This window comes from Homo sapiens, chromosome 18 (assembly GCF_000001405.40).
Source record: "Homo sapiens chromosome 18, GRCh38.p14 Primary Assembly".
Taxonomy (NCBI): Eukaryota; Metazoa; Chordata; class Mammalia; order Primates; family Hominidae; genus Homo; species Homo sapiens.
Window position 1 is genome coordinate 8749417 of NC_000018.10, and position 20937 is coordinate 8770353.

Consider the following 20937-nt stretch of genomic DNA (forward strand, 5'->3'; position numbering starts at 1 on the left):
GTCCTGGCTCAGGGTGTTCGATGCACTCTGAAGGCAGAGGGTGCTGTGGTTGAAAAACCACAGGAGGTTTTTCAAGGGAGAATGATATGGGCAGTTATATCTTTGGAAGGTAAGTGGAGGAAGAGTGAAGTGAGAAGACAGAGCCAGTGGAGAGGCTGTGGCCGTGGCCTAAGTGAGAAGAAAGCAGAGCCTGAGCTTGGGCAGATCCAATGGTGGGCCCGAGAGAGTGACAAGAGCACAGGGATGGGGTTTGGCCACCTGTAAATACCTGTAAGCACAGTGCCTCCCACTGGCCCTGGCCCTGGACCCCAGCGAACAGGGCTTAGGGCATGATCCTGGATCGTACAGACATGGGGGCCTATTCTTTCCTTGGCAACTATGGGACTTCGGGCAGGTTGCTTAATGGCTTGAACTTCAGTGTCTGCAACTGTAAAACTGAGTTGTTGGGACCCAGCTATAAACTTGTTTCGATGTTTCAGTAAAATAAAGCTTTGCTCTAAGAGTAACTTTACTACTAAGACTAACATAAAACTGTATTTTCAGTTTGTTTCTGTTAACCCATAGGGAATATTAAAGTTGCTGTTAGCTGGATGGTAATGTCATTTTATTTTTTATATTTGTTTTTATTTTTATTTATATTATTTTGAGACAGAGTCTCATTCCATCACCCAGGCTGGAGTGCAGTGGTGTGATCGCGGCTCACTGCAACCTTTGCCTCCTGGGTTCAAGTGATCCTCCCACCTCAGCCTCCCACTGAGAAGCTGGGATTACAGGCTCATGCCACCACACTGGCTAATTTTTGTATTTTTAGTAGAGACAGGGTTTCACCATGTTGGCCAGGCTGGTCTCGAACTCCTGACCTCAAGTGATCTGCCCGCCTCAGCCTCCCAGAATGCTGGGATTACAGACGTGAGTCTCTGTGCCCGGCCAGTAATGTCATTTTATGTCTTTCCCTGGTGTGACTGCCTAAGCGAAATATGCCTGGAGAGAGCCCGGTCCTGGAGGGTGCCCCTCCTCCAGGGTGGGGCCCCACCTGCTGCTCTCTGTGCCCTGGGCACCATGCAGAAAAGGCTGGGCAGCTCGGGCCAGTGCATTCTGCGCTTGTCTCCTGGCTGGCTGGAGGTGCAGAGGAAGGAAGGAAGTTTCTATCTTCTAATCAGATGGAGGGCAGGGAGGAGGTGTTGAATGCTACCAGTTCTTCCTTGGGGTTACCAACCTGGACCCCAAATGCCTATATCCAGAGGACACTGCCCTGCAACGGTCTTGAGAACATTTTTCTAGGCATGGGAAAAGTTGTAACAAGATTATGAACATGCTTTTTGAATGCATTGCAGTTATAATCAGATTATGTGTCTGATTTAAGGGAGTCTTGGCTTATAAGAGTGCTTTATTTTCATTACAGGGAAATGACTTGCTGGTAAAACTGAATTTATTTCCGGGAGTCCCAAGCTGGTCCCCCTTTGGCATAGCTGGGAGTGAGGCCTGCAGTTGCCTTCTCTGGATGCGTTGATAAAGTTACTGGCAAGGCGGCCTGAGTGCTGGGTAGGGTGGACAGATGCAGTGTGCACCGTGGCCAGGCCCTCTCGTGCTCCAAGGAGGAGGAGGATGGGGTGGACAGTGCCCTGGGCAGCGGGCCCCCAGAAGGACCAGTGGGTGTGGGCATCTGACTGCATGTGTGCATGACTCATGCACACATCTTTTCCGCACATGGACTGTGTCTGGATTCTGTTGAGAACAAAATATTTATGCAAAAAAGGTCTGTAAGGCTCAGGCTGCTGATGACTTTGCACTTTCACTTGGATGTTTATGTAGAATTTTCGACATGTTTGGACATAGCTTGTGTGTGTTCTGTCAAAAGAAGGCTCCAGAAGGATATTTCACCAGGTCCTCAGTTGTCTGTTTTAAGTTTTGCATGCGTAGACATTAAACATGCCTCTTTTGGTGACCACCCAGGAGTGAAACGCGATGCTTGATCTGTGCTTCTGAGGATGTAAGTGATGTTGCCGCTACTGTTACTGCTCAAAAGTGGGCCACCTAAATCCTTCCAGAATAGAATGGTATTGTTTTGGGACAAGATAACTGACATTTTGTGCTATAGTTTCTCCCTGGACTGCAATTTTTGACACTCATGTCATCAACACTCTAAAAACAAACGCTTTTTGGTTTTGAGGGTTTTAGCTCCATTCCCTTCAATAGTCAAGGAAATCCGAGGTGAATTTTCTCATTGGTCTGAGTCACCTGGTCCAGTGCAGGACGGGGTAGGTGTGAGGCAGATGTGGGGGGTACAGTTGAAGTGAGGTTGGCTGCTGTTGCAGAAGAGGGGGACATCACAATACAAAAACAATCTTTTTTGCTGTTATGAAGACTAGACGAGGTTAGAAATGCTCTGAGTTGGGGCAGATGGAGCCGTGGGATTCGCTTGTGAAAGTTGTTTCATTGACCTGCACACGAGGTGTTGAAGACTTAGCTCAGGGCAGCGGTGACGCGGAAAAGAAACGTTTAAGGCCAAGCTGCTGCAGACTGCACTTTCACTTGAATGTTTGTTCAGAATTTTAGCATGTTTGGACATAGCTGGTGTGTGTTCTGTCAAAAGAAGGCCCCAGAGGGATATTTGAAAAGAGGTTGTTGATAAATCTATAAGGCTGAAAGGTAAAGAAGGAGCGGGATGGAAAGGACCCCAGAGCTTTGACTCTAGGACATCCCGATGACAGAGATAGAGATGGCTGATTTGGGGAGAAGAGGGCCAGGTCAGCATTGACTTGCTGAGTATGAGATAAAACTAAATATAATCCAGTGTTTTAAGTTAGAACATTAAAAAGTTTTATTTTGAGTAAGATGTGTAAATATTGTGACTTTATAAAAAGTCATCTGCCTATCCAAAGTACTGAGCAGTGGTTTTGAAAAATTTGTTAAAGTTTTCTCTTTTACTATTTAAACTTCCATGTACTAGTTGAATAGGAACTGATAGTTGTTAACATAACTTTTAAATCGAATTTTTTTTGTGTTATTGCTTTCTTTAGCAACTGTGCCTCTCTTTTTTATGTTTGATTTGAAGGAAAGTTTTAAGAAGGCCTGGCCTGGCACTTGTCCCAGAGGAATGCATGTGGCATAGCAAGTTAAAGAGTGCAAATGTCTGCTGTCTTAGAGGGCTGAGTTTGTATGCTACAGACCCACAGAGTATTTCCAAGGTTCTTGGGGGGTAACTATTTAAAAATCTTTCTTGTTACCATCCCAATTGTTAAACACAATAGAATGATATTGAAAAATATTGTCATAAAGACAGTCTAGAAATGATGAAGAATCAATTCAGCCACTTATCAGATGCTACCAGTTGCTCCTGGGGTTCAGGCACCCTATTGCTGGGTGCGTAGGCTATTTCTACAAACAACATATCCCCTGCCTCCAAGAGGAGTGACACAAGGTGGCTCTGGGCTTTGGACAGTGCACAGTGAGCCATAATGAGGCCTGAGTACAGTGCCACAAAGAGCTGGACATGAGCAACCTCAGAAAATACAGTGGGCAAACAGGCAAATGCGTGGAGACGTCGCCGTATCGAACATGGCCATCCTGACCTGCTCCTGTATAAAGAGGATGGTTTTTACTATAGACCCCTAAGGCTATAAGACCAGGTGGCCTCAAGCAGAGCCACAGCAGCCCACAGAAAGAGATGAGAGTAGAACAAATAATCCCGAACTTCTGGCACAGACAGAAGTCTTCATGCACATTCATACCTGGACCCAGGGAAGCCCAACATGGGTGAGAACGTTTTCATAAAATGCTAAAATCATTGTTTAAAATAGCCAGTGCTACATTCCACTGTTAGAGGCATGGCCTTCTAATCCAGTTGTTTACCTATGAATCAACTATGATGTCAATTTTTTAAAAAATGGGAGACACTTATTGTTTGAAATAAAGGTATTGACAGATCTGGGATTTGATTTTACTGTACTCACAAGCTAACAAGCTAGCCTCCTACCATTCCGTGGATGCTGGCAGAAGACATGAGACTCCTGGATCAGAGACAAAGGACTCATTACTCAGGGCACAGCAGGCAGCATCAGCACAGTCAGTTTTCCTTGTCCCCACATCCAGTAAGCATGACCCAATGGGCCCAGATGGATGCCTTTGAAAGACAGTCCAGCTCTGCCCTGACTCCCTGGTCCTTTTTACCTGGTGACATCAGAGAGCCCCTGATGTGAGCTGTGGTGTCACAGCTGGGGAACACTGAGCCTGGAGAACCCACCATGTTATAGCCATTTTATAGTAAGCAAGCCTGCTCTTTGTTGCAGAGGGAGACATCACCTCAGCCATCAAGGTTTCTCACTGCAAACACGGTCCTGAGAAATAGTCCAGGTAGTGTATGGTTCCAGCCTTGCATTCACGACACACCCAGCAAGCTGTGTAGGAGTGTAAGAGGCCCATGAAGACTGTCTCCTAGTGACATAAATATATAAAAATAATGATACTGTAGGTAAAAATCTGAGAGGACTGTTACAATTTGTGACTGTTAATATGGGACCATTTCATACCATTTGGTGATATACTTCAAATTTAAAATATGTATTAATTCTTATTTCAAACTGAAAATTTTATTGCTTTTCATACAGACTTACGTGACAAGCAACTGGTTGAAATTTTCCCCCTACTTCCTATTTATTTATTTATTTATTTTGAGACACGGTCTTGTTCTTTCGCCCAGGCTGGAGTGCAGTGGCACTGTCTTGCCTCACTGCAACCTTTACATCCTGAGTTCAAGCAATTCTGGTGTCTCAGCCTCCTGCATAGCTGGGATCACAGGTGTGCACCACCACGCCTGGCTAATTTTTGTAATTTTAATAGAGACGGGGTTTCACCGTGTTGCCCAGGCTGGTCTCGAACTCCTGGCCTCAAGCGATCTGCCCACCTTGGCTTCCCAAAGTGCTGGGATTACAGGCGTGAGCCACCGCGCCTGGCCTCTCCTTTATTTTTAAGCAAGCATCTATAAAATAACCCCATGTGTATAAGTGTATAATACTCTACCAGGAGCTTTTGGGAATATGGAAGAAGTAAAGGGTTCAGTTCTTGCCCTTGGCTTTATAACATGTTAGAATGATGAGACAGCATTACAGGAAACAAGCAAAGTAAATCCATCAAGTGCCTGGTAATGAGATACCAGTAATGTCAGAGAGAAAAGGGAACCAAGTCGTTTTGTAAGATTTTGATGGAATCTTATGATAGATGCAGAGTTTTAAATTTGTATTTTTGCAGCCATAGCCACCCAGGTTCCTAGTAGCTTTAGTATAGATGCGTGCAGTTCTGCAAAATGCCTGCTATCTAATGTTGCCTTTTTCTTCCCAATTCTGTTTTATATTCTCTCTTGTTCTCCATTTCTTGGTCCCTGTCTCTCTGATGTATGAAGTAAGTATTAGTGGAAAGAGGGCTTAGCTCTTCAATCTTTTTGATGGGAAGAACATAGCTTGCAGGTGGAGTACACCTGAGAGTCTCCAGCTCTGCCCTGACTCCCTGGTCCTTTTTACCTGGTGGCATCAGAGAGCCCCTGATGTGAGCAGCCTGGTGCGTTTGGTCCTGCAGGGGTTATCTTGAATCACTGATAATATCTGGGAGTGCTTCGGTCACTTTTTTGTGAAAGTGGCTATGTTAGCGACACAGCACATTTGAGTAACACCGCCTGTTGCACCAAATGCCCCCGTGCCACGGCTGCTCTTGCTGCCACTCTGAGTTAAATGGTAACTTCTTAATGCATAGGACGACTGTGGCTCAGCGCCACCAAAGGACTTGCCCAAGGTCACACGCGTGACAGGACGAGGGGCAGGACCTAGGCCTTCTCCTGCCAAGGTCGCAGGTGCTATTTGGGATGTCGTTTGTTGCTTTTGTTGTTTTAACCGGGATTGGTTTGAAATGAAAATGACCACATCAGCACAAAGCACCGTGTTTAGTCCTTGATTTTCTCCTCAACAGGTTGGAGTTTAACAAGGGATTGGGTGGTGGCGAGGTCGTTCTTTGGCCCCAGTCTTGCAGCGTGTGTGAGTGTTACTCTTTATGAAATGCTGATGAACCAAGCCAGCTGTCATTTCTCCCAGGAGCACTTCAGGGACATCTCACACGCTTCTCCTCACTCTCCCTGGGACCAGGTCTGTCCCAGAAAACCTTCCTGAGGCCATGCAGCTTCTGAGTTCCAGGACATCTCTCGGGTGGCCCCAGGAGAACCTGACCTATTTTGTGGCAGATCATGACTATTTTTAGAGTCTAAACCACCTTTAAAAGACAGACTATCATCCTCTTTCAGAGAATATAGTCCAATCAAGTCAACAGAATGTTCACAGGGAGTGGGGCACGGAGGAGGATGTGGTTTTGGAGGTTATACAGTAAGTTATGAAGCATGACACAGATGTGATTCTTTTCATCTATTTTGTTAGGTCTGTATTCAGAGTAAGAATTATTAGCCAGGCATGGTGGCTCATGCCTGTAATCCCTGCACTTTGGGAGGCCAAGGCAGGAAGATCACTGGAGCCCAGGAGTTCAAAACCAGCCTGGTCACCATAGCAAAACCTTGTCTCTATAAACAAAAACATTACTTAGGTGTGGTGGTGCACACCTGTAATCCCAGCTACTCAGGAGGCTGAGGTGGGAGGATTTCTTGAGTGCAGGAATTTGAGGCTACAGTGGGCCAAGATCGCACCACTGCACTCCAGCCTGGGAGACAGAGCAAGACCCTCTCTAAAAAAATAAAGAATAACCATGCACAAGATTTAACACGTTCATACTGGGGTCTCTCTTGTAGGTCAGGGCCTTTCTGGAGGTCGTCAGACCATGCGGTGACTTCTAACCCATGTCACATTTCCACTACAGAACAGTGTGAGATTTCAGCCTTAGCCATGAAAAAGAAGTGTGTGTGTGTATGTATGTGTGTATATATATGTGTGTGTATATATATGTGTATATATGTATATATGTGTATATATGTATATATGTGTATATATGTATATATGTGTGTATATGTGTATATATGTGTATATATGTATATATGTGTATATATGTGTATATATGTGTATATGTGTGTATATGTGTGTATATATGTATATATGTGTGTATATATATGTGTGTATATATGTGTGTGTATATATGTGTATATATATGTATATATATCTCAAAGGCAAGAGATCCAAATTCTCACTTAGGTGGAGTTTCAGGAATGTTGAAGGAGAGAGGCAAACTTGTTGGAGAAAAGAAAAATTTAGAGCCTTTAAAGGTGAGGAAGAAAGGAAAAATAGGAGTGTTTTTATCTCTTTATGCAGTGAGGTCCAGAATCCAGCCATTGTCAGTTCTGAGCATCTGGGATGTGGCCAAACCGCAGGGTGCTTCAAAAAGCCTCTGAATTCCCAAAGAAGTTGCAGTGAATCCCAAGGAATATATTTAGTGGGCAAGGTCTCCTCTTAGAGCCCTTCCCTGTGAAGTTAGCTGGATTTCTATCTCCTAGTGGCTGTCGTTGTCTAAGGCCCCAGTCCCTGGTGGATGTGACACTTGCAAAGCAAAGGGCACTGCAGACACCCTAGTGATGAGTGAGGGGAGCAGCATTAGCACCGTGGAACTGTCAGCCAGAGAGCTACAAGGTAGGGTCCCCAAAGACTGGTAAGAGGACCCCAGACACAAGGAAGATGTTGACCTGCATTCTGTCATTTTCATATAAGAAGGCAGGAGACTGCCTGTGCCTCTTTGGAAAGAGTACCTGAGAATGAGAAATTCTGGCTCTCCCACTGCTGAATGCCATGGGCAGCTGTGGTGTTTTCATCCCAGGTTCAGAATTTCCAGGAGTCTAGAACTTCACAGCCATCTATAATGCTTGACTCTGTGTATTTAATTCTTGCTTTAAGTTTTAGCTTCTACAGGAGAAAGCTTCAGTTCCCTGGAAACATAGGAAACCTCTTTTCCTGAGGTTGCCAGATCAGGAGTAGCCGCTGTAGGATAAAAGATGTGTGTCCCGGCAACCAAGGAGACCCCCCAGACTTTGTAACAGGTGATTCACCTCCAAAAAGGTTCTTCCTTTAAGAAAGTTTCCATAAAGTTTTTATAGAAAATACAGGTTAAAAACAAAAATAGAAGAGGCTGGGGAGCCGGGAGACCTGTCATCGTGTGAGCATCTGCTGTCACTGACAATCAGTCAGCAGTGAGGAGACCCCGGCAGGGATCTAGAACAGGAAGGGGCGTGTGTGCAAGGGCCGTGTCCCCTTGCAGAAGCACGTCTATGGCAAATGCCAGGGCATGTTTGGAGACACATTTGCATTTTTGAGATTTTTTTTTCAGGAGTATTGTCATCTAATAAAGGTGATCTGATAAAAGTTTCACAGTTTTTGAAAGCAATAGGTTTTTACTATGGGTGTTAAATGCTATCATTGTCTTTTATTGTTATTGCTGTCAATAAAATGTATGGTTCTTTTGACATAATTTTTCTTCCTTTGGTTTTAGAACCTTGGATTTGGCTGGAAAAGGTTTTAAAGACTGACTTGTCAGCTTTTTTATCCAAGAAAGATAAAAGGAAATATCACAAGCTGCTCCTTTGTGAAGTGTTTTCAATAATGACTCAAAGTTGATGAGTAGCACCCAGTCTTTTTTTTTTTTTTTTTTTGAGACAGAGTTTCACTCTTGTTGCCCGGGCTGGAGAGTGCAATGGCGCGATCTCGGCTCACAGCAACCTCCACCTCCCGGGTTCAAGCGATTCTCTTGTCTCAGCCTCCGAGTAGCTGGGATTACAGGCATGCACCACCATGCCTGGCTAATTTTGTATTTTTAGTAGAGACGGGGTTTCTCCATGTTGGTCAGGCTGGTCTCAAACTCCTGACCTTAGGTGATCCGCCTGCCTCGGCCTCCCAAAATACTGGGATTACAGGCGTAAGCCACCACGCCTGGCCACACCCACTCTTCTAATCCCTCAGGAGTTATGCCAGATCTACCACCAGGAGATCTTTCCACTCATCTAGTCATGGCTCACTCCTTGTTTCCTAGGTGGAAATAATTTCACACATTTTCTTCTTCTATGGATTTCAACAGTGTCCTTCACCTGGGGTTTCCTTCATTCATAGGATTTGGGGTAATTAAAGGCAAAGGATACAGTCTTTCAGGTTGATTAATCTCACCTGTGATAAGCATAGTGCTTCTGCTTTAGGATTCTAGGTAGGCTCCAGAACTTGATAAATCTAACATAGCCTGGTCTTGCATAAGTTGTGTGACTGCGTTCCTTTGTGCTGAAGTTTTCCTGAGAAAGGTTTGTACTTATCCCATATTTGGGCGCTTTCTCATCTCCCAAGGGCCCCGGGGACTTCAGTAATTGTAAATTCTTGGTTATCAGGAGTTTGCGATCAGACAATAATGGGTGGCACAAGGAAACAAAACTATTGTTGCAAATTCTGCTGATACCCAGGGAAACCAGATGACAAGATTCAAAACAGAGATGAGAGGACCAAATATACCTATCTTGCAGATTTCTCTAAAAAATTCCTCCCTTTCCCCCTCCACTTACTGGAGTTAGTGAAATCCAGTTGAAACACCTCCTCCGAAGTTTCAGTCCAAGGTAGTGACAGTAGAGGGGCAGAAGGACAAGAGGACAGCAGGGGGTGTGGAGAGCATCCTGGAGGAAAACGGGGATGTTGTTACTGTTTGCAATTCTGCATTTGCGATCACACTTTGAAGAAAATTGCCTGTGAGCAAAGTCTTCGTGTGGAAAGACTTAAGTAGCAGATCACATGCACGATGACGCTGAATGCTTCTAAACTTATTGATGTCTTAACAGGCCACCAAGCATGCCCTCTGCAGAGATCATCTGTATGACTTAGGTCTGAAAGTAAATGCTTGTTCTTCTCAAAGCAGAAAAACATTGTGAAGTATTTTCAGCATCTTTGCTGGGGCTCAATACTTTATTCATTCTTGGTCACTAGCTGGTATCTGAGCTGAGTTCAGGAGGAATTTGGAAAGAATCCTGTTGATTTCAAAGACTGCTGGAACATTGACTCTTTGAGGGTGAAGGGTTGACTATGATTTCTTCTGTACAGCTAGGAATATACAACCTTAATCCTTTCCCGCTGTGCTTAGATCATTTTGAGACTGCTTTTTCCCAAGGGCACTCTGAGACCCTTCTAGCAGGAGAGTTGGAGAGGTTCTCACTTGTCACAACCCAAAAACAATCTTATGGGAAGAAAACTTTTCAAAGAGCCAAAGGCCATAATGAGGCTATTACAAGGGAGTTGCCCTTCCAAGCCCAGGATTTTTAAAGAAGCATGTAATTGGCATAAATTTCCAGAAAAAAGTGTGATGGCCACAAATGTCAACGTGTTATTATAATAGATTTCCTGTTTCTACCAGTAATCTAGAAAATGCCAGATCTGGGTCTGCGGGGGGTCCCAGAGCTTGAAGCGGGATAGAGGTGGCACCCATCAGTGAGAGGTGCACGTCCTGGCAGAGGGAGGGTGGCGTGGTTTGCGATTCCCGGTTTCTCCAGGGGGCCCCAGGGGCTCATGCTCATGGGGCCTTGGTGTCCTGAGGGTGGGTCTGCTCCACCACAGCACATCGGGGCTATGCTGTAAAGTAGGTCAGAAGCGACTCCAGCTGTATGAGAAGCGCTTAGACCCCTATTTGCCCCCTTTGGGAGTCACCAAAATCCCAAAGCCACAGCACATTCCTTGTCATACCTTCTTCTGGAACATGGGCTCACCTCATGTCCATCTGGAACGCGAGAGCGGTCAGCAGGAGGTGGACAGTCCCTCAGTGAGTCCAACCTGCCTCCTTGTAAGTCCCTTCTCCGAGATGCAGTGCCGGGCTATGGAGGGTCTCAGGCTGTGAGGAAGGAGAACGGGTTCAAATCCTGGCCGTGTGGTGGGCAAGTTACTTCTTCTGAGCCTGTTCCCTCACACAGGAAATGAGAACAAGAGTCCCCACCTCATATTGGTGGTATTAGGATTCGGGATCTCAAATATAAAATGTTGGCTGTCTAAACTTGTTAGACGCAGATGCAAGTGCCATGTTTGCTAACGCCCCTGACATTCTCTAGGGCAGTGCCTTGAGGGGTGTGTTGTCATCTCAGCGGGGTGGCCCCACTCACCTGCTAGGAAGCAAATGTTAGGATTTTGACTTCTCAGTCAATACAGAGGGTCAGCTAGAGCTATATCAGGAATAGAAAGTAATGCTTGCAGTGTTTTCCTTTTCTTCATTCCTTTTTTCTTTACCTCCATTATTTCCAACTTTCTTTACTCCTTTCTTTCTTTTTTCTTCCCATATTTCCGTAAGAAACCGTGTGTGTGTGTCTGCATGTGTGTATGTGTGCATTTACATAAAGCAAAGATAAGCTGTTGTAGAAGGCACTCCTCCATTATTTCCAACAAATTTTAAGATTTTACAACTCTGTTAGAAAATCAAAATTTCTCCCTCTAGTATTTTCTGGTACATTTTAGAAATATTTTTCCACAAATAAATTAAGGATTGAGAAATGATGACTTCTTATGAAGAAACCATGCATGTTGATTAAAATATGCTGCTTTGAAATGTCCAGAGAGAAGAAACTGCCTTTAGATATGTAATAATATAAAAATTTTAAATGTGTGTCACCATTTTTTTAAAAAGTAAGGTCTTTGGAGAAAAAACTTGCTAAAGCTTTGGTCACTGTTTAAAGGCTGCCCTCACAAAATTTATAAACAGTCTGGGTCCATCTAGATGTGTATTTTACAGATTAAAGGCAGTACTCGCCTGTCTTTGCTTCTTGGCCATAAAAGGAGAGGAAAGAGAATATATAGGGCTGTTCACATGGAAGGTGCAATAAATCATAGATTGCACAGTGATGCCCAAAATGTAAGCCAGGTTGAGTCACATGTAGATCTTTGTTTGGGGTGCTTATGACTGAAAATTTTTGATGTAAATTAGTATTTTTATTGTGATAAATACACATAACGTAAAAGTTACCATTTTAACCTTTTTAAAGCACCAATTTGGTGGCATTAAGTACATCACAGTGTTGGGCAACCATCACCATTATCTATTTCAAGAACTTCATCATCATCTCAGACAGAAGCTCATACCTATTAAACAATAATCCCTCACTCCCCTCCTGCCCTTCACCCTGGTGACCTCTGTTCTTTCTATCTCTATGAATTTGTCTATTCTGGGTATCTCATATGTATTAGTCCATTTTTGTGCTGCTGATAAAGACATACACAAGACTGGACAATTTACAAAAGAAACAGCTTTAATGGACCTACAGTTCCACATGGCTGGGGAGACCTTACAATCATGGTGGAAGGTGAAAGGCACATCTTACATGGCGGCAGACAAGAGAAGAGAGCTTGTGCAGGGAAACTCCCCTTTATAAAACCATCACATTTCGTGAGACTTATTCATTATCACGAGAACAGCACAGGAAAGACCTGCCCCCATGATTCAATTACCTCCCTCTGGGTCCCTCCCACAACATGTGGGAATTTAAGATGAGATTTGGGTGGGGACACAGCCAAACCATATCTTCATATAAGGGGAGCCATACAGTATTTGTTCATATTTTGTCTGGTTTATTTCACTTAGCATAATGTTTTCAAGGTTTATTCTTGTATCAGAATTTCATTCCTTTCTATGTCTGAATAGAATTCCATGGTACATACTGATCATGTTTTGTTTATCCATCCAGGTGTTGATGAACACATGGGTTATTTCCACCTTCTGGTGATTGTGAATTGTGCTCCTGTGAGTATTGGTGTTCAGGTATAGGTTTGAGTCCCTGATAATTAGTGTCTTAAAAGGTGTCTTTTTGTAAGCTGAGATTTTCCAAGAGAAGTTTCAAGGACACCTCGCCGAATGGCATCCTCTTGCTGTCATGAGGGCAGGCACCAGGCATGTTGCTGTGCTGTCTCCATGGTAAAGCTGCACCCCTGCCTGTGAATGTGCACAATACAGAACTCAGCATCAGCTGAGAAGCAGCCATGCAGTGTGCGCTGGGACATTTAAACTAGGGTAGCTGCCGCGACTGCTCTCAGCCCAAACATTATTCAATGTTCAGGATTGATTAAGGAGAGCAACCCTTGGGGGACACCCCCACTAAGGAGGCTCTCAAATGAACAGTCGGGGTGATGGAGTCTTCCTTGGCCATGGAGAAGAATGGATAGAAAAGATGCTGTCCCACAGAAGGCAGTTTCCTACGTGGAGTGAGGAAGGACGGAAATTGATGATGACTTCGTGGCTTCCACCCTTGAGGACAGAGCGGCTGCCAGAACCCCCACAGGGGTGGCAACAGGAGTGATCACACTGATAGCTGAAAGGGAGGTACAAGAAGACATCGGCACACACAGCATGGGATGTGCAGGAAGGAAGCAATTGGGGAGCCCCTCTCGGTGAGGGGCAGGAAAAGCAGGAGGACTGAGGCTCTGCGGGATAGGGCGGGAAGGAGGAGATGAGCGTGAGAGCACGGGGAAAGGGGCGAGTGTGGTGCCCGGCTCAGGCTTGGGAAGCAGCGTCTGCACCCATCTGTTGTTACAGTGGCTGTTTCTGGGCTGAGTTATCTTTCCGTTTCTGTGTATTCTTTCTCCTCTTTGTTAATTTCATTCTTAATTATTGTTTGGTAGCTTCTATAAAGTCTTCTATATAGTCTACAGGCTGAAATGACCTGCCAGCTGCACAAAGAAATTCTTCTCCCCCCAACCAAGCCCGCTCAATACATCCTCATTGATAACATGTCCCATGTCTGTCTGGAGGAAGCAGGCCTGTGACAAGATGTGCCGAGTTGTTCTGTCTGGCTTCAGTTATGTGCAAGAAAACAGAACTGAAACCAGGAGTTACCAGGGGGTTAGAAATCAAGGAAGAGGAAAACGATGTCCAAGAAAGGGACAGCCGTGGAAGTGGCCATCCTGGGGCAGGAATGAGGCCTGCTGGCTGGGGCTTCCCTGATGGGCCCGCCCAGACCCCAGGGTCCAACCTGCTGTAGAACCACCACAGAACAGAATCTAAGTCTCTCCTCATTTTTTCCAATTGGATGCCAGTTCACTTCCAAAGAGATGTCATGTGCCTGTGAATCTGGCTCAGGCCACCACCAAGGCAGAGAGTCTCCAGCCCAGCTTGTGTCACACTCTTATCAGCGTCTCAATTTCCATCTAAACCCAAAGCTCTTGTATGGAAGAGGTTTCCTAACTTCTTTTCCTTTTATTTCCCTTTCCTTTGCTTCACGCTTCTACATATCCTTTGGTTCAGTGGTCTCTCTCAGCCTTATTGCTCATTTGATTTTAATATGTTGACAAAAAGTCTTGTCAGTTCCAAAGAGGAGTGTCTGTCCTTTGCTAATTAGGTCCTAATAGCAGGGGAGAGAACACACATCATCGGTTTTCTCCTGGTGGTTTGACTCATCCTATAAATTGTATGTGAAATCACTTTTGCCATTGGCTCTTGGCATACTTAATTGCATTGTGGAAAATCTGACCCACTTACCTCCCTGAAATGATAGAAATAATGCCCTCTTACTGTGGGAGCGAATTTTGTTGTTGAAATTTTTCCTATGAATTAACAGATTGGGATTTTTATTTCAGACTTTATATACTTGGTGAAGTTAGGGTTCTAAATTCTGTTCTATATATAGAATATATAGAAATCACACAGTTGAAAAAGTTCATACTTCAAACACACATTTTCCATGCAGAGTGAAAAAGCCTGTTTTCTAAACATTGGTTTTTCTCCTAGAGAGAGAAGAAAGCCAAAATGATTAATAGTGGGTCTTTTTTTCTACTTTGAAAAAAAGGAGGGGGTGATTAGGACTTGAAAATATTAAACAAGAAGAGAATCATAATTGGCAGGGTAATATTGCTTTTTATGGTTATCACTTGTTAAGCAAATTACTTCATTTGATCTTTAAAAGAATGCTTTATATAAGGAAGGTACTATTCTCACTTTTTTTTTTTTTTGAGACAGAGTTTCGTTCTTGTTGCCCAGGCTGAAGTGCGGTGGTGCAATCTTGGCTCACTGCAACCTCTGCCTCCCGGGTTCAAGTGATTCTCCTGCCTCAGCCTCCCAAGTAGCTGGGATTACAGGTGTGCACCACACACCCGGATAATTTTTTGTATTTTTAGTAGAGACAGGGTTTCACCATGTTGGCCAGGCTGGTCTCGAACTCTTGACCTCAGGTGACCCACCTGCCTCGGCCTCTCAAAGTGCTGGGATTACAGACATGAGCCACTGGCCCTGGCCCCTGCCCCCGCCCCCCACTTTTAAATAAGGAAATTGAGACCACAGGCTGGCTCGATATGCCTGGATTTGGATGTGAGCATCCATGTCCTTAATTCACCTTTCCCTTTTACCCACGTAGCCTGGGCACTTTCACATGGTTGCTGGACAACTGAGACTTTGTAAGGATGTTGGGTCAACTTTGGAGTAAAGTGCATTATCCAATGCAAAACAAACTATACTTTGAATTTTCAAAGTTTTTCTAAAGGCATTGTCATGGAGGCTTTTAAAAACCAGTTAAAATTACACAGTTAACTCTGAGAGGCACTGACAGGTGCAATTACTCCCAATGATAAAAAGAGAAGAAATAAAATGCCCGGAAGAGTCAAAACAAAATAGTGGCCTATGTAGGTATGTGACTAGGGCACCATGGGGCTGCCTCAAAGCTTGAACTTGTGGCAAGAAGAACAAGTGAGTTGATACCCGGTGGGATGAAGGAAGGTTCTTCCCCTGGCCTTCGCCTACCTGCAGGCCATTTGCTGCTTGATCTCCAAGTGGCTCCTTCTCTGAACACCAGTTAGTTTTTTGAAGCACATTTGCACCTCAGGATAAATGTCGTGGCAGCAGGCCTGTGTGCCCTAGGAAGGTTGATGCAGCCTGTGAGCGGGGTGGAGGTAGAAGGAAGATGAAAAGCTGGGGCAACTATGCCAGAGACACACTCACGCTCTGCCCCAGTGAGCCCAAGGGGCAAGAAATGACTGGCTGAACAGACGACTGATTGAAAGAGCAAAAGTACCTCCATGCCAAGTCCCTGCACTGTTGGTGGCCTGGTTGCGTGTGCGCCAGAGGCAGCTGTGATATGGGCAAGCAGAGCACCCTAGAGCAAGAGCCTCCTCCCCCACAAGTCCTTGGGCAAGTCACTTAACCTTCGCACACCTCCATCTTCTCCTGGGTTAGTGCCTCACACTGCCCGTCCTCGGGAAGAAGTGGACCCAACCACACGAGGGATGGAAGTGCCAACAGGAGGGTGCTGCAGCTACTCGGGCAAGCCACTCCTCCCATGCTTCCTCCAAGGAAGCTTCTCTCTTCTCTTTTGGGTGGGAGTGATTCTGTTGAATAATAAAATCGAGAACCGAAGCATTAGAAGGACCCGGGACATGTACTTTCATCCTTGGAACAGTGATAGAACAGAAGTAGTCATGCGGGCTCCTGGGAGATGTGAGGTCTGTCCCAGCAGGGAGCAGCCACATCAAAGAAGGAAGCAGGCAGAGCTTCCAGCAAACAGAGCTCCCTGACTGGGCCTCTTTCCTTCTGTCCACTCAGAAACCATTAGAGTCCAGCCTGATTGCACAAATGGATCTAGACAGCCCCAGGAGGAGCCATCCCGACACAATGCTGCCACAAGTCTGAATAATGCACACATTCACCCTTATGTACCCACAGGAGGTCTTCTGGATTTTTATAGCTTGCAGATAAAGATCCAACAACATCTGGATTTTCTCAGATGTGAGAAGCTGGTCATAGATTGGTGTCATTTAGAAGACAAAACATGAGATTGATGTGTTTTAAAAGCACGCAGCGGATGCTGCACACAAGAAAGGCGTGGTTAATGAGCACTCCAGGCCTGCGTTTCAGCAGGGTGTGCCAAAGAATGATGCCTCATGAGGCCTCCTCCATCATCCTCCATGTAGCGCCTGTTGTGTGAGCTGATCCACCGAGCTCCCCACTAGGTGAAGCATGAGTTGTCGGAGGTCTGGGAGAAAGGAGCAGCTGTCTCTGCCGTGGCTGCTGCAGGGACACTGTGTAGGCTCTGTGCCCTGGTCTGCATCAGAGGCTGGGGCCTGGGGCGCCCCAGTGGGGACTTGCAGACGATAGCTTTAGCTGTTGAAAGGCTGCAGTGAAAACACCAGCTCTGGCAACTGATCCTGCTTTTCAACATTGTCTGCAATGTTGTGTCTCATAAATATAATATACTAGCAGAGATATTGACAGTTGAGGGTGTTAACTTTCTTAGCCTGTGTGTTCATTCCAGACAGCACCAGAGATAATCAAACTGACTTCTTTGGTTTTCATCACATGAAACCATGGCTGTTTTGTTTTTCTGCTGAATGCCTGCTCCCAGCTGTAGCCCTGGCCCAGCCGCCTTCCTGGGAGAGGGCTGGGCAGGACAGAGCTGAGGGTGGGCAGGTGCAGCTGGGACTTCCCTCCCTCTGTTCTGCCCTATGCCCATCCTTAGTCCAAGGGCTGGGTATTGTTCTTTGGTGATTTTCTTATGTTTCCAGGTTGCCTTTTAGGGGAAGCTTGTTCATTCCCAGCCCTCACTGGCTGACCCACCTCAAAGACCAGGGCTGGCCAGCCCCTTCCGCAGCCTCAGAGCAGCTCTCTAGCCTCCAGGGGTTTGTCCTGTTGTAGGAGCAGGTTGCATCCTGTGCCTCTCCCTGCAGCTTTCACTGCTCTTGCCTAATTAAATAATCTGTAGTTTCCAGGACAGTGGCAGAGGCTGATGGAGGAGGGAGGGTTTTTGCTCCTTAAGAATCATGAGATCATGGAGCAGAAAGTTACCCCCTCCTCTTGAATCACTTAAAGTATTGTGCCCTGGGGCTTAGAGCTAGGGATCCTAGCTGCCAGTGCTTGGAGATGAGAATTGCTGAAGATTTGCCCAAGGGGCATCAGTAGCTTTTGTGGAGTAATGCTAGCCAGTGATGCTTTTGATATTTCAGCACAGTTTAGTAGATGATTTATGGAACCAAGCAGTGGCTCCAGATAGCAAGGATCCTAGGCAGGTATGGGTCAGTAAGTCGGACAGGGTGTTATTAGGCCTCCCTAGTGGAAGAGTCTCTTGGATAGGAAGCCTTAAGCCTGGGAAGGCAATTAGGGTTTCAGAGTTTCATTTACTGTCCTCAAATATACATTAAGCCCTACTTTGTCCTCTGCACAAAGATGTATTTGATGATCCCCAGTGGCACAGAGCTAATCCTGCCTGGGGGTTAATCCTGCAGTTTAATCTCCTGTTCATTTCTGTCTGACTTGAGTACCCGGGGTCCATCAGTCTTGTCCATCATTTCCAGGTGAGGCGGAGCAGAGGTTTAATGGAGGTGTGGGATGTTTGCATTACGCTAGGTCAATTCCATTGTCCTTAAAAAATGAGAACCTTTCTGATTTGAAAAAAAAAAAAATTAATCTTGACTATTTGGGGGAATGGAAAAAAAATCTATAAACAAAAACATAAAGTCATCCATAATTCTATTCCCCATTGATAAGACCTGTTAGCGTTTTAGTGTATTTGCTTCCAAACATTTCCAAGACAAAAATATTTAATCTTGTTGAGATGATATTAAGTATATATTTTTAATCCTACATTTAAAAGGTGAATGTTTTATGAAAAATTTTGTCATTAAAATTTTTTAGTAATCACGATTTTTAATGGCTACACAATATTATATTAACTTTTAGTGCAAATGAAAATTTATGTGCCTGATTTCTTTCTTCCCAACATTTTATTTTGAAAATTTTCAAACAGATAGCAAAAAGAGTTCTGTAGTGAAAACACCTGTTATCCCCACCATTCACACTGTATGTTAACATTGTACTATACTTGGTTTATCACATGTCTGTCTACCCATCTTTTTATTCATTTACCCATCGTATTTTTTGGTGCATTTGAAAATAAATGGTAGATGCCTATTCACTTTCTCCAAAATACATGTTGTTAACTAGAGCTAAATTTTTGTTTATATCTTTTTTGAGTAAACTCGTGGACAGAAATGCACAGATCTTAGTTCACATTCACTGAGTTTTGACAACTGTATATACAAAGTTTTACTACTGTAATGGTGTACTCTATAATTAGAATCATACTTAAAGTCAAATCAGAGGGTCTGTAGGGTATGTTGGCAGATTAATATAAAATAGTATGAGGAGTAACTCAGAACTTTCCTATGTGCTCTTTGACAGTTAAATATTTTTTCACATTACATGCATCTGAAAAACTGATGATGGGTTTTCTCTGAAAAGAGGGCAACATTTTAATATATCATTTATTTGTATGATTTTTCAGCTTTGTTTTGTTTTCAAAGTAGTTCTAACTCTCTTGCTTTATTTCATGAAACTAGGAAATAATTTGCCTCTCTTGATGGACTGGTAGATTTCCTTCCATTAGACCAATGGCAGAGGTGGGAACAGATTCTTTTCTTCTCTTTTTTTTTTTTTTTTTTTTGAGATGGAGTCTCGCTCTGTCACCCAGGCTGGAGTGCAGTGGCGCGATCTTGGCTCACTGCAACCTCCACCTCCCAGGTTCAAGCAATTCTCCTGCCTCAGCCTGCCGAGTAGCTGGGATTACAGGTGTGCATCAGCACGTGGGCCCAGCTAATTTTTGTATTTTAGTAGAGATGGGGTTTCACCATGTTGGCCTGGCTGGTCTCGAGCTCCTGACCTCAGGTGATCCACCCGCCTTGGCCTCCCAAAGTGCGGGGAATACAGGCATGAGCCAGCGCGCCTGGCCAGGAACAGAATATTTTCTAAAAGACACAGCCTTATATTCAGTCTGACAGGCAAATGTCATGTTTCTACAGACTTTTCAACTTTTATAAATGCCCAAGGGCCCATCTGTAGGGGTTTCTCAAATGTAGGATTCTGATTCCATATTTCCTACTATGCTCCATGGTATTGCTAAGTGCCAGCATGGATGTGCACAGAGTTGGGATTCTTGCAGTTTGGGGGAAGGATACTTTGTTTTTGGTGCAGTCATCATTATGGTTTTGTCATGGTCATCAGTTACAATTTTTCTTTGCACTGTAGTTATAATTTACAGTTTTACTTTATTACCTTTGATTTAGTTTATTTTGCAATGTTTGGTTCAGAGTACTATGTGATAGTATGTTTTAGCCAAAACATACCTAGTTTTTTCCAAAAACTAGGCTTCAAGGTACATATCACAAAGGTTAAAATGAGCCAACCAGCTCATATTGCAAAGCAAATGTATGTCATGTTCCCGAGTTTGCATGTGCAGGAGAAAGTGGCATTTGCTAGGGGGTGTGCTGGGCATCTGTGTCCATCCCAGGTGGCCTGGTGACCCTGACCTTCCACTTGCTGGCCAGGCTGTTGCCTTTGGGGCCTTCCCAAACTCTTTGACTTGGATGCTGGGAATCCTGAACCATGCTCTGGCTCATGGCCCCACTCTTCTTTAGCCAAAGTGTCTCAATGTAATTTTCCTCTTCTTTCCCTCATTTACTTATAACATTTGTCCTCTAATAATAGTTTTCTGTCTTACTTTTCCAAATAAGGAATTCTGCTGTCTGCAGCCTCAGATCCTTTGAGAAATCATCAGTGCCAACAAATATTATTTCATAGCCATGCAGCACCTGCGAATGTAGCAACTTGTAACCATTCCTATAATAGTCCTTTGTGCTCTTTTGCTAAAGAAAGGCAAAGATTTTTTGGATGAGAAAAATTGGCAATTTGGGGCTAAGAAACCAGAAAACAGCCCAAATATGGGCGATTGGGCTATGAGAGTCCTGGAAGGTAGCTCTGAGGGTCTGAGGGCTGTGACCTTGAATGTAGGCTTAGGGTTGGGCCCAGGTTGGTGGCCCATCTCCAAGTTTAGGGGATCTTGAAACATTACCCAACTTTTGACTGTGTTTTAGTTTTCTTGTCTGTTACTCAGTGGTAATAACATATGCCTCCCCAGACTCTTGACAGGATTGAATTAGATTAGATATTGTCTTAGTCAGCTTGGGCTGCTGTAACAAAATATCACAGGCT

At 44.5% G+C, this 20937-nt stretch overlaps 1 protein-coding gene across 33 annotated transcripts in view, besides 2 other annotated features; it reads left to right on the forward strand.

Moving 5' to 3' along the window:
* The window catches only part of MTCL1 (microtubule crosslinking factor 1), a 127223-nt gene that overhangs the window by 43861 nt on the left and 62425 nt on the right, over positions 1 to 20937 (forward strand). The gene's annotated exons all lie outside the window — the stretch shown is intronic.
* Positions 16671 to 17270: an enhancer, noted in NCBI's record as "H3K27ac-H3K4me1 hESC enhancer chr18:8766085-8766684 (GRCh37/hg19 assembly coordinates)". NCBI's record gives its function as "activates a minimal SCP1, AML or CMV promoter by ChIP-STARR-seq in naive H9 embryonic stem cells {active_cell/tissue: H9 hESC(naive)}" and the evidence as "EXISTENCE:reporter gene assay evidence [ECO:0000049][PMID:30033119]".
* Positions 17271 to 17868: an enhancer, noted in NCBI's record as "H3K27ac-H3K4me1 hESC enhancer chr18:8766685-8767282 (GRCh37/hg19 assembly coordinates)". NCBI's record gives its function as "activates a minimal SCP1, AML or CMV promoter by ChIP-STARR-seq in naive H9 embryonic stem cells {active_cell/tissue: H9 hESC(naive)}" and the evidence as "EXISTENCE:reporter gene assay evidence [ECO:0000049][PMID:30033119]".